Below are 13,017 nucleotides of genomic sequence, written 5' to 3' on the forward strand. Positions count from 1 at the left end.
GTTGCCCTGGCTTTTACTTTCTACCAGACCCTTTTGTGTCTCCTTTACTTGTATGTACAGCCTCAGAGTTGACCAGGATTGTGTGCCTGGCTTGGACCCTCTCTGGTCTCCAATGTGTATGCATACAGCCTCAGCCTGGAATATGCATGGTTCAACCTTGGCTATCAGGGCTGTTGTCCCTTCCTGTTCATCTGTCTCTGAGATTGTCACTGCCACTGACACCACCATTGAACATGGCATCTCCCATCACTCCAAGCGAGCCTTCTACCCTCACGGAGAAGCTGCAGCTGCCCATCTTCACAGCCTGTCCACCCTAGTGGTACCACCATGTCGAACACGTGGGGTGGGTGGCACACAGGCAGCAGATGCGGGGGAGACAGGAGCAGCCTCCCACCACCACAGATTTCCACCATCGTCGCCTGAAGTTCAGTTCTTCAAGCATAAACACTTCTCAGGTGGCCATTCGCCTTTTGTTGATTTCTAGAGCACTCATTTGGTTGTTTTTATTACTGTTGTCTAGCTTTATAGTTGCTTTTGAGGGGTAGGGTTAGCTGATCTCTCCAGGCCATAGCTGGAACTTCTACCACTAGAAGGCTTTCAACTAATAGTAGTTTTTGTTTGTAGGTTTATAAACATTCTTAGTGTTCACTTGATGTTTGTTATGCTATTCTTGTCAAGCTGACTTTCTACTTTTAAAACAGAAAGGACCACTCATTAAACTGTTTTAGTAGAGTCACAAGTTCCAGAATAGCAACTTCCATTATTGCATTAGTGGAAAAATTCCTTTGGTATTTCAGTTTAAGTAATTTAAAATACCTGGAGGAAAAAAGCTATAGCCTTGGGTTACTCTTCATAATGCTAAATTTAAACTTGTATAGATGTAATTTATATTGCATTTGGACACATTTTGATAATATGGAAATACCATGTCGTTTGTAAGAATGACATTAAATTCCACTCATCACTCCTTTCTTGCTTATAGGACTTCATGTGGCCACACAGAAACTGGCCTGTTAGCTTATAGGAAAGAGACAGGTTTTCATGTTGAGATAAGATTTAATTTTTTTTTAGTACTTTAAGGATACTTGAAGAAAGTAGCACCTTGAGGTTGTCATTATTCTTGTCACAATATGTGAATATGTTAAATTGGAATTATGTTCTTAAAAACTGAAGTCTGTTGCATCTTACCTGTGGGCCTTTGAGCATTCGTTGTGTTGCTTGTTTTTTAGATTAGTTAAAAATCTCCATGGTTTACCTTTTGCTAAATAGCTTTCTACCCAATAGCCAGTAGACATAGAAATGGTTTTTCAGTTACAGTATGGTAACAGTCATTCATTTTAGACAAAGTTGTATGTCATTCTTGGTGTGTCGCTTGCAGGCCGCTTTGAAGAGGAATTTATCAAAATGCGCATGGAGAGACTTCAGGCCTGGATGACCAGGATGTGTCGCCATCCAGTAATCTCAGAAAGTGAAGTTTTCCAGCAGTTCCTAAATTTCCGAGATGAGAAGGTAGGACATTGTGTTAATATGGCATCAGAGAATATTGAGAGTTGTCTCATTCACACCAAACTTATTTCTGAAAGGAGTTAAAATTATGTTGGTTAGTTATTTCTCACTTCCTCCAGTGACAGTGAGGGGACAGAAACCTAAATCCCCACCATAGGAAATTTGTCATGATGTGTGAAGAACTGCCTGCCAGAAGGGCTTCCCCCTACACTGGGAGTGGGTTGGCTCAAGATGGGCAGGGGCAGGGTGAGGGATGTAATAGGGTCAGCAGTTTTTCCCTAGATGTTTTTAAAAATAGGAGGATAGGCCCCAAACTCTGAAGGTATTATCAGCATGAAGTGAGGGGAGTGGAGTGACTGATTTTCCCGATCACGTTGCCCTTACAATGTAACAGCATGATGGCAGGAAAGGGAGAGGCAGACATGAGCCGCTCTTCTCAGAGCCAGGCCATTTTCATCACTGTAATGGTGAGTCCAGAGTCAGTGCTGGCCTCTCTCTCTGCCTGCCCCTGTGGCCTGTAGTCTGCCAGTGGTCATCTGTTCTTCATTAAAATCAAGGAAACGTTGGCTGCCTGACATCTCAAAAGTGTCTGCTTTGGAAATAGTTTTCTCTCTCAGTAAGCATTTACTGTACTCCTTATTGTATCATTTTATTCTCTAAAGATGTTTCCTCCACAATTTCTCTCAACAAATACTGCATCTCTCAGCACCCTAAAGAATAAAAGCAGGAGTTGGCCCAGAAGCCACAGCAGATGCTAAATACATTATCAGCCTGGGAAATAAATTATGAAGCTATTTTTGTCTTTAATGAAATAATAGAATATCATATACCCTCTTGGAACTTCGAGAGGTTTACTTGCTAAACTTCTTTGTAGTAATTTTCACTTGTTGAAGTGAACACATAGTAAGTCTTAAATATTAGGGCTCTATCGGTGTATGTTTACAGGTGTATGCATACACTTAACATACATATTTGGGCCTTATTTTCAGTTATTGACTATTTCTAGAATTGACCAGCTCATGTGATATGTTATATGTCACCAGATTGGGAATTAGACAACATGGAGATGCTTCACCATGTCTTTGTGAATTTGTGTATATCACAGGTCTCCTCACCATGTCTTATGAATTTGTATATGTTTATGGTGAGATAGGGTACTCAGTCACACTGTGTGTCATGTAGCTATATAGTAGTGAAACTAAGTTCTTTGAATTCAGTAAATATTTGGGTTACTTTGTAGTTACAGAAACTACAGGGAACCACCTCCAAGTTTGTTGCCTTCCTGGTTCCCACAAGACTTTAACAAGAGCTTATTTGATAGATTTTCCAAGGATTTGATTTAGAAAGCATTTCTGAAGGTCATGTTTTCTGCATGGTGGAGTTAATAAATCCTAGACATCAGTTGTGTTGGTTTTTTTAAATGCCACCTTCAAAGAGGGATCAACGTGTCATAAAAGTGGTATAAGAGAAAAAAGAAAGAACTTGGAGTCAGGGCCCTTGAGTTCTGGTCTTAGTGCCACTTCTAGCTGCCTCTGTGGTCTTAGTGAAGGTATTTAATCCCTTTGGGCCAGAATTTCCTCACTTGCTAAATGACACTGTAGAACTACATAGAAACTATGATTCTGTGGTAAGTAGCAGCTCGTGTAAATAAATGGTAGACACAGAAACCCCCAAAGAATCTGCAGAGACATTATTAGAAATAAGTGGTTAGTAAGGTAGCTGGATACAAGACATTGCATATTTATCAGCAAAAACAGAAATTGAAAATCTAAAAAAAAAATAACCTGTCATTTACAGTAACATCAAAAGTATCAAATATCCAGGAATAAATACAAGAAAATGTACAAAAGATCTACATAGAAAACTATGAAACATTATTGAGAAAAATAATAGAAGACCTAAATAAATTTTCTAATACTGCGTCTCATGGACTGGAAACAATAAAGATGTCATATGTAGAAAATCAAAATGCCAAGCATAGCCAGGATGCTCTTGGAAAATAATGAAATAGGAGGAGGACTTTATTGCGTATCAGAACTCATTGTGAAGCTAAAAAAGTTTAAAAGCATGGCATTGGCATAAGGCTAGACAAACCAACCAGTAGAGCAGAGTAGACACTTGATCTATGACAAAGATGGCACTGGGCGTAGTAGGCAAAGGATAGTCTTTTCAGTAATTGGTGCTGGGTCAGTTGGATGGCAAAATGCAGGGAAATGAAATGTGCTCGCTACCTCACTACAATCTGCAGTTGATTTTATTAAGGTTGTTATTGATATTGTTATGTTTTTAAAACATGTCCCAGGCTGGGTGTGGCGGATCACTTGAGGTCAAGAGTTCGAGACCAGCCAGGCCAATATGGCGAAACCCTGTCTCTACTAAAAATACAAAAATTCGCCAGGTGTGGTGGCACACACCTGTAATCCCAGCTACTTGGGAGGCTGAAGCAGGAGAATCGTTGGAACCCGGGGGTAAAGGTTGCAGTGAGCCAAGATCATGCCACTGCACTCCAGCCTGGGCAACAGAGCAAAACTCTGTCTCAAATATATATAAATATATATATGTATGTATTATATTTCAAATTAGCTTTAAAGTAAGAAAAAAAAAATCCCAGAGGTAAAATGGAGGAGAATACCTATGAAACAAGATTGGCACCTCCCGGGGAGCAGTGGTGCCTGGGCAGCTTTTCCCTTGGCCACATGTGCTGAAGGTGGAGCTGTGGGTCTCCTGTGGAGTCACAGCAGACAGGCACTTGGAAAGTTTCTTTCACTCTGAGTTTTGGTTGAAAGGAAAGCACCCAAAACTATAGCCAAAGGAGTCATTATACTTCCAGAAAAATCTCAAAAGTATTGCAAGCAACAGTAGTAGCTATTGGATCAGACCTTAAAGGTGGGGGTGGAAAGATTTAACCAGTTAGCTCAGTGAAAGTTAAAGTTTTCCCAGAATATGGAGGCAGCAAAGTAGTTCTAGACAAAGGTCATTTCTTATTTAGAGGTGGTGCCATTCTTGGAAAGTGTGTAAGCCGAAGTAAATCCCTACTGAAATGGCATCACATGCCACCACAGTTCCGAAAGCCTTCATCATGTAAATGACTTCCGTATCTCTTTTACTAAACTAATGATATTTTTAAAAAGATTGGCAAAAGTGTTGGTAATTATCGAAGCTGAACCTGGGGGGTTTATTATACTTTTCTTCTTTTGTATATGTTTGAAAGTTTTCATTGTATATGGTCTTCTTGAAAATGAATTCCATGTGGCTCGCAGATTTAAATGTGAAAAGCAACATAGTAATGCTTACAGAAGATAACGTGGAACATCCTCCTATCCTAGAGAGCAGGGAAGAATTTCTGAAATATGACATGAAAAAGACTATGCAGGAAGATGTGGATAAATTAGACTACATTAGAACTTCTTTTTTCAGCCATGACAAGCGAAAAACAAGCTACTGAGTAGAAGATACTTGCAACATATATAAGCAATGAAGGGCTAGATTTTAGAATATAGGAAAACATCAGTAAGCCCAGTGGAAAAATAGGAGATGTGATCATGTACTTCATAAAATAAGGTATCTGAATCAACAACAGATGTGTAGAAAAGTACCTAATCTCATTAGCAATCAATAAATACACATTAAAACCACAATAAGATGCCACTACACACGTGCCAGAATGGCTAAAACTGACCATACCAAGTGTCATCTTGGTGAGGTGAGATGCTGCTGGGATTCATAACGTGTTGGGGGAAAATGGTAAGACTAATTTGGAAAAGTTTGGCATTTACTGAAGTTGAACCCTCTCATATGACCTGGCATTTCCACTCCTGGATATGTACTGAATAGAAATGCAGGCACACAGACACCAGGAGACATCTACATAACAGCTTCATTCATAACTTGATAAGGGTGGCTACCAGTAGTAGAATAGATAAATAAATTGGGGATTACTCATAAAGTAGAATATTATACAGCAATGAAATGAATGAACTGTAGTTCTACACAAGATTTTGACTGTAGTTCCTAAGCAAGATTGAGCAAAAGAAGCCAGGCACCAAAGAACGCATTTATAGGGCTCTTTGCTAGCTTGAAAAACTAGCAGGACAGGGTAGCATGCATGCGTAGGTGGTAAAACTCTAAACAAAGTGTCTGAGTCCATTTGTGCTGCTGTAACAAAATACCTGAGACTGGATAATTTATATACAACAGAAATTTATTTCTCACAGTTACGGAGGCTGGAAGTCGAAGATCAAGGCACCAGCATTTGCTGTCTGGTGAGGGCTGCATCCTCCAAAGGAGAGAAATGCTGAGTCCCCACATGGTGGAAGGTGGAAGAGCAAAAAGGGACAAACCCCCTCCATCAAGCCCTTTTATCAGGATGCTAATCTCATTCACAAGGGGAGAAGCTCTCATGACCTAATCACTTCTTAAAGGCCCCACCTCTTAATATTATCACATTGGCTATTAAGTTTCAAAACATGAATTTTGGAGGGAACACATTCAAACCATAGCAGAAAAGCAAAGAAATGAAAACCATAAGAGAGAGATTACCGGTTACCTTTGTGGGGAAGGGAAGAGGTAGCAGTGTTTGGGGAAAGGACAATGCGGGGGCTTTTGGAATGGGAGCTCTTTGCTCCTTCCTGGCCTAGTTGGTCGTTAGGCAAGTATTCACTTTGTGACAATTCATTGCACTGGATATTTTTGATTTGGGTACTCTGTGTGTGTATATCTTAATATTTTTAAAAAAATAGCTCATAATACTGGTTTCTGTCTTATATTTTAGAAAAGCATTTACCTTTTTAGAAAACAGATAACCTAAATATTTGAGGCACTAGGTCAGAATGCATAGGGTGGGCCGAGCACAGTGGCTTATGCCTGGAATCCCAGAACTTTTGGAGGCTGAGGTGGGCAGATTGCTTGAGCACAGGAGTTCAAGACCAGCCTGGCTAACACAGTGAAACCCCATCTCTACAAAAAATACAAAAATTAGCCAGGCATGGTGGCATGCGCCTAAAGTCCCAGCTACTTGGGGGCTGAGGTGGGAAGATTGCTTGAACCTGGAAGCTCAAGGATACAGTGAGCTGAGATCATGCCACTGTACTCCAGCCTAGAAGGCAAAGTGAGACTCTGTCTCAAAAAAAAAAAAAAAAAAAAAAAAGTATAGGGTGTTTCTGTTTGCTGTTTTTATATAGGTAGCCATTGGAAAGAGAACATGGCTGAATTGGTTCATTCTTTAAAGATTTGGTCCCATTAGGACCATTCTGTGGAATGACACTGTTCATGCCCTGAGATTACATTCGGAGTATAAAGGTATTTAGTCCATGGTGCAGAGGGAGATAGAGTGGGAGCTGCTTCCTGAAAATTAGAAAGATAAAGGTGATAAATGAGCTGGTCCTGTTTGGGAATTTTGAAGACCAGTTTGACTGTGCTCTCCACTTGAACCTTACAACATTCTCATTTACAGGAATGGAAAACTGGAAAGAGGAAGGCCGAGAGAGATGAGCTGGCGGGAGTCATGATATTTTCCACCATGGAACCAGAGGCACCTGACTTGGACTTAGTAGAAATGTGAGAGACGCTGCCAGGTTTTCTTTCTTCTCAATCCGCACCCTCCTCCTTTGGCCATCAGGCTTCAGCCAGTGTAGCCGCAGCCGAAACTCAAATCAGACTAGACTTTTATGAAATGAGTGGGATTTGTAGTCCAATGACAAGGGAAACATCATTTGTACATAGAAGTACTGTCTTTCTAACCGCAACATCAAATTACAATCTTTCTTTCACCTTGAAGCCAGTGATTTCATAGTTGACACGGTGCTGAGTAGCTGTTTCCAATAGTGTGATGAAACCAAGCGGCATGGAGCCACCTAAAACCCACTCAATATTCAGACAGCAAATCTCTTTGAACATTGCCTTGAGGAAGCAGTCTCTAACCTGCTTTTTCTGTATGCTTTTTTAATCTGTTGATTGATTTTAATCATGTAGTTTTTTAAATGCAGGGTCAGTTGAAACTTTGGAGTAGTTCCTTTTCTCTTACGGACTTAAAAGAAATTTGCGTGGTTTTTAATTTTAAGCTTTTTTTTTTTTTTTTTTTTTTTTTTGAGACGGAGTCTTGCTCTGTCACCCAGGCTGGAGTGCAGTGGCACGATCTCCGCTCACTGCAAGCTCCGCCTCCCAGGTTCACGCCATTCTCCTGCCTCAGCCTCTCGAGTAGCTGGGACTACATAATTTTAAGCTTTGTTATCATAAAATTATTGCGTATGTGTTACCAAAAGTATAGACAAGTAACACACACACACACACACACACATAACCCTTCAACCACGCAGAGAGAAAATCAGTGTTAATATGTTAGTGTTTAGTCTCCCAAATCCTCCTCTGTACGTATGTAATTATAGGAAAGATTGTTTAAACAAAAATGACCTCACACTAGACATTTTGTTTTATAATCTGCTTTTTTCATCTAACAGTATATTGTGATCTTTTCAGGTTGGTAAATACACTTTTGACATCCTTAGAAAGAACTGGTATCTTTAGGATCACTTAGGTGATTGTGTATCCAGGTTATTGTCTCCGTTTCATGGAGTACTTGGAATGAATGGCCAGCTAGCATTAGCAACCCCTGTTATTCTTTTATAGATTTGATGGTCCCCCCAGTGATTGGAATTTTCCTAAATAAGATATTCAAGAAATTATTATTTTATTTACTTTAGAATAATTTTAAAATTCACAAAGAATTGTATAGGCAGAAAGGAAGCGAAGTTAAAATATAAATCAGCGCTTTTTAAGTAGTTCTTTAAATGTCTGCATCAAGCCTGTATTTAAGGCTAACTTAGTGAAAGGGGAGTTGTTATCATGCAAGAAAACAAGTGTCTGTGGTTATATTTGGCCCGAGTATCCCCACAGCAGTGCTGTTTCTCCTGCTTATGTGACTGACGGCCGCCTTCACCCACAGAGAGCAGAAGTGCGAGGCTGTGGGGAAGTTCACCAAGGCCATGGATGACGGCGTGAAGGAGCTGCTGACGGTGGGGCAGGAGCACTGGAAGCGCTGCACGGGCCGTAAGTCCACTCCTCACAGTGCACTGGGCTCGTAGGGGGTGATGCAGGCTCAGTTTTATGTCCCTTATCATAGAGGGGAACCTGCTGCCTCGAACAGAAGTGTATTTGGTGGACGGCAGTAATGTCCCTCCTGTGATTCTGCTTGATCTCACTTCACCTGAGTTAAACCACAGAAAACTGACCAGCAAAGCCAGGTTAAGAAATCTCATAGGGAACACCACGTTCACTTAATTAGTTCCAGTAATTTGGGGCTTTATAATCTTTGGAAAATTAATCATTTTTGCATGTTTTCAGAGTGCTTGTAGTTATTCTTAGTCTCATGATTTTATTTTTTAATCTTCATCCATTTGGTAAGATGTTGTGTATTTGACTAAAACCATAGTGTTTAGAAAAACCAATATAGTTAGTAGTAGAAAATATGTCACAGCAGAAGCACTGCCGAGGGGAGAGTGTCGCTGTCAGTCACGGCTTTCTGACCACTCTGCTGTGTCCCTAAGAACTTCCTGCCTCCCTCCTTCTCCTTTGTTTGTAGGCTTTCATTCTGCTGAAGGTTTTTCCTGTATTTCCTAGAACTGTGCAGCTCTGTCACCACACATGTGGCCCAGGATAGAAAAATAGTCCCGTATCCAGCTGTAGGGCTAATGCCACGGGCTGCTGCCCTGTTACACCCACAGGCTCAGAGGCTGCAGAGTGACTTGTCAGGCCCTGAAATGCTGCGACTGCACTGCTGTCCCATGCGCAGATGCCTTTAACTCCCTTAGAGTCCTAGGACTTCTCTCCTTTATATCTGGTCTGCCCTTATTGCTGTGTCTTAACCTCTAGAGAACAGGGCCTTCTAATCTATCACTAAGAATTTTCTGGCCTTCACCTCATAACACCATACAGGAATATTGGTTGTATTCAGTTAAAAAAAATGTTTTATATTTTGAATTATGAGTAACATATACCTACTTTTCTATCAGCCTTTGATGCTCAGCATAGGAAAGGGATCTGTTCTTGTAATGATTTTTTTAAAGGTGATATTTTTACACTAAAAAAAGAAAACAATCAGAATTTGAAATCCAATAATAATTTTAAAGAGAGGAAACTAAATATGGAGTGACTTGTAGATGAATTAATAAGATAGCACAGCAAAGACAATGTCAGTATTACTATTCAATCCAGATCTGAAAATCCAAAGCCTTACATCAGGAGTCAGTAAACCATGGTCCGAGCACCATATTTGGCTTGCCACTTATTTTGTAAATAAAGTTTTATTGGAACACACCCATGCCCATTTATTTGTATATTGTCTTTGGCTACATTTGTGTCATAATGGTAGAGTTGAGTAGTTTCAACAGAAACTTGTGGCTCCATAAAGCCTAAAACGTTTACTATCTGGCACTTTGCAGAGGAAGTTTGCCAGGCCCTGCCTTACCTCAACCATTGGCCAATAACTACCTCTGCCTCTTCCTCTACTAGCAGTAATACCAGTACCAGTGGTGCTTTACCATCCACATATTATCTTATACCAACAAAACAACTTGTAGCATACCAGCTGTTCGTGCTTGAGGGGCAGACATCAGGAATAACAGTTGTTTCTTTCCCATGGCAAAGAAATATGATGCTGTATCCTAAATATATAGAATTAGCCCTGAGAAAATAATGTATACAAATGCAGCATCTAGAAAACAAAACCTGTGTCAAGACTTTAGTCATAGAGGATGACTCAGGAACAAAAAGCAAAGTTGACGTTGTTCTCTAAAGCAGAGGCCCCCAATCCCCAGGCCATGGACTGGTACATGGACCATTACCGCACAGCAGGAGGCAAGTGAAGCTTCATCTCTATCTACAGGTGCTCCCCATCACTCACATTACCGCCTGAGCTCCGCCTCCTGTCAGATCAGCGGTGGCATTAGATTCTCATAGAAATTTGCACCCTATTAAGAGCCACGCATACAAGCTTGTGAGCCCTTATGAGAATCTAATGCCTGATAATCTGAGGTGGAACAGTTTCATCCCCAAACCATCCCCCCGACCCACTGTCTATCTGTGGAAAAATTGTCTTCCATGAAACCAGTCCCTGGTGCCAGAAAGGTTGGGGACCGTTGCTCTAAAGTATAAATGAAAGAATTCAGTTTTTAAAGGCAATGAATTAATTTTGACTGTAAACTCTTGCAAGACCATCATAACACATCATTTAAATCTGTATGTTCTTTGAAAGCCATTTTTCCTGAGTGTAAATTTTACAATTGCATTTTTTAAGGATATCATAAAAATTTGGGATTATGATATCTTTTTAAAAATTAAATCCCTTATGTCTAATGTCTGATCAACTCCATGTCCTGTGTAATTCACAAGGCTAAATGTAGAAAGTAGGGAATACTGGCCTCAGGCCGCTCTTTTGTGGGGTGGGGAAAGGGATTGACTCAGGCATATCTCCTCCTGTTTCTCAAAGTAGTTCTTTAAAATTCCTAATGTGTAGAATGAAAACTCTAGCACACACTCTGCATGGTGAACCACATGCCAGGTGCCTTTAGGTAGAGAGGCAAAACTGAGGTACCACAGGGGTACAATTTATTAAAATTAACTGAGCTCGTGTAATTTGGATTCATGTTTCCTGATAACTGCAGCTTATAGACCTTACCTCAAATGTCTCTGGCCTAAATATTTTTTAAAGAAACATTAAAAGTTTTCTTTTTCTCCTTTAATACTGCAGTGAGTCTTTAAATGCAAATAATGGTTTCTTTTGAAAGGCAAACAGATGCTCCATTTAAGGGGACTCCATACAGATGCAAAGAAAGTAGCTTAAGGTGCAGAGACTCTTGGGAAGTTCTCCAAAGTGATCCTGGAATCTTAGCACCTTAAAAAGAAACCTTAGGGGTCATTTATTGAAATCATCTCTTCATGCAGATGAGAAAACTCAGACCCCTCTTCCCTGGTCATGCGAAGTCTGACTGTTGTATTTTTCTCCATACCTTGTTGCTTTCAGTCTTTGGTGGTTATGGTTTGCAAATGGTCATTTATGCACCTGTAACAGAGTGGGAAAGGCTACGTATTTGGAATCACAAGTCCATGTCCAGCATTTATTAGCCATGTGACCTTGGGCAAGTCAGTTATCTGAGCCTTATTTTCCTAATCCTCAGCATGAGGATGGTGTCTCTGCATCTGGTAGAGGGGCTATCATGATGATCAAGCGCGGTGTCGCTAGAAGTACTTTGTAAGCTAGAAATCATCTAAAGGAGCTTCCATTTCACTTACATCTCATTTGGTGAATGAGAATGTAGGAGTGATTGTCAGTAATAATAGCATCCACCATTAGTTGAACAGTCAATTAAAATAATCGAAAGAAATCAATTGAAAAAACAATCACTTTTGCAACAGTATTTTGTGAAGGAATATATAGACTATTTTGAATCACTTCAAAAGTTACTGTAATCACTTTTAGGAAATAGTTTAATCCCATTTCAGTTTGCTCAGAAGACTAATCGTTTATTCCTTTTTGTCTTTCAGCATTACCCAAGGAATATCAGAAGATAGGAAAGGCCTTGCAGAGTTTGGCCACAGTGTTCAGTTCCAGTGGCTATCAAGGTGCGTCTTTCTTCATTCATCCAGTGGGCCTTTAGAGCCTTATGTAGACCTGTCACCTGCTTAGGATCCTGCAGACGCTAACTCCCTCCTCAGTGAAGCACCCTGGTTGTGGGTGTGTAAATTGGCTAGGCTGCCGCACTAAGGACTTTTGCACCCTCATCCTAGGACTTTTGAGAAAAGCCAAAGGTGGTTATAATTTGTATTTTCTTGCTAGCTCGTTTGCCTTTTTTTGCTCTCTGGTGTAGCGCTTTTGTTTCAATGCCATCAGTTTCATTTCTCTGCCAAGTCTTCCTGTGACAGAGGCCAGATTTGGCTGGGCACAGTGGCTCACACCTATAATTCCAACACTTTGGGAGGCTGAGGTGGGCAAATCACTTGAGTCCAGGAGTTTGAGACCAGCCTGGGCAACATGGTGAGACCCCCATCTCTACAAAAAAATAAAAAATTAGCCACGTGTGGTGGTGCATACAGGTAGTTGCAACTATTTGGGAGGCTGAGGTGGGAGGATCACTTAAGCCCGGGAGGCAGAGGTTGCACTGAGCCATGATCTTACCAGTGCACTCCAGCCTGGGTGACAGAGCAAGACCCTGTCTCAAAAAAAAAAAAAAAAAAAAAAAAAAAAGCCAGATTTCATCAAGGCCATTTCAAGGAAAAATGTTTGACCAAGTAACAAGTGTGTGTTGCCTGTTTTCTCCTTAACTCATAACTGTTTCAGCTTATCCTATAAATGTGTATCTTACCCAGGGATCCCTTTGTGGTTTACATTGGCAGCACTTATGAGAGCAAGTTAGCTCTTTTTCTTTATTAAAAGGGAAAGGAACCCAGGCAACATAAGGAGACCCCATCTCTACAAAAAAATAATAAAATAAAAATTAGCCAGGCATGGTGTCACACACC

At 40.5% G+C, this 13,017-nt stretch overlaps 1 protein-coding gene and 1 pseudogene across 2 annotated transcripts in view, besides 1 other annotated feature; both read left to right on the top strand.

The window, feature by feature from the left end:
* Nucleotides 1–13,017, top strand: part of SNX9 (sorting nexin 9) — a 121,832-nt gene that overhangs the window by 96,907 nt on the left and 11,908 nt on the right. For both annotated transcript variants that reach the window (NM_016224.5, XM_011535886.4), the window contains 4 exons: nucleotides 1,379–1,509; nucleotides 6,959–7,062; nucleotides 8,447–8,550; nucleotides 12,043–12,120. In NM_016224.5, the coding sequence (NP_057308.1) occupies nucleotides 1,379–1,509; nucleotides 6,959–7,062; nucleotides 8,447–8,550; nucleotides 12,043–12,120 (417 nt within the window). The remainder of the gene's footprint in view (nucleotides 1–1,378; nucleotides 1,510–6,958; nucleotides 7,063–8,446; nucleotides 8,551–12,042; nucleotides 12,121–13,017) is intronic.
* Nucleotides 4,250–4,524, top strand: HSPE1P26 (heat shock protein family E (Hsp10) member 1 pseudogene 26; annotated as a pseudogene).
* Nucleotides 10,319–10,820: an enhancer, noted in NCBI's record as "NANOG hESC enhancer chr6:158351503-158352004 (GRCh37/hg19 assembly coordinates)". NCBI's record gives its function as "activates a minimal SCP1, AML or CMV promoter by ChIP-STARR-seq in primed H9 embryonic stem cells {active_cell/tissue: H9 hESC(primed)}" and the evidence as "EXISTENCE:reporter gene assay evidence [ECO:0000049][PMID:30033119]".

This window comes from Homo sapiens, chromosome 6, assembly GCF_000001405.40.
Source record: "Homo sapiens chromosome 6, GRCh38.p14 Primary Assembly".
NCBI lineage: Eukaryota > Metazoa > Chordata > Mammalia > Primates > Hominidae > Homo > Homo sapiens.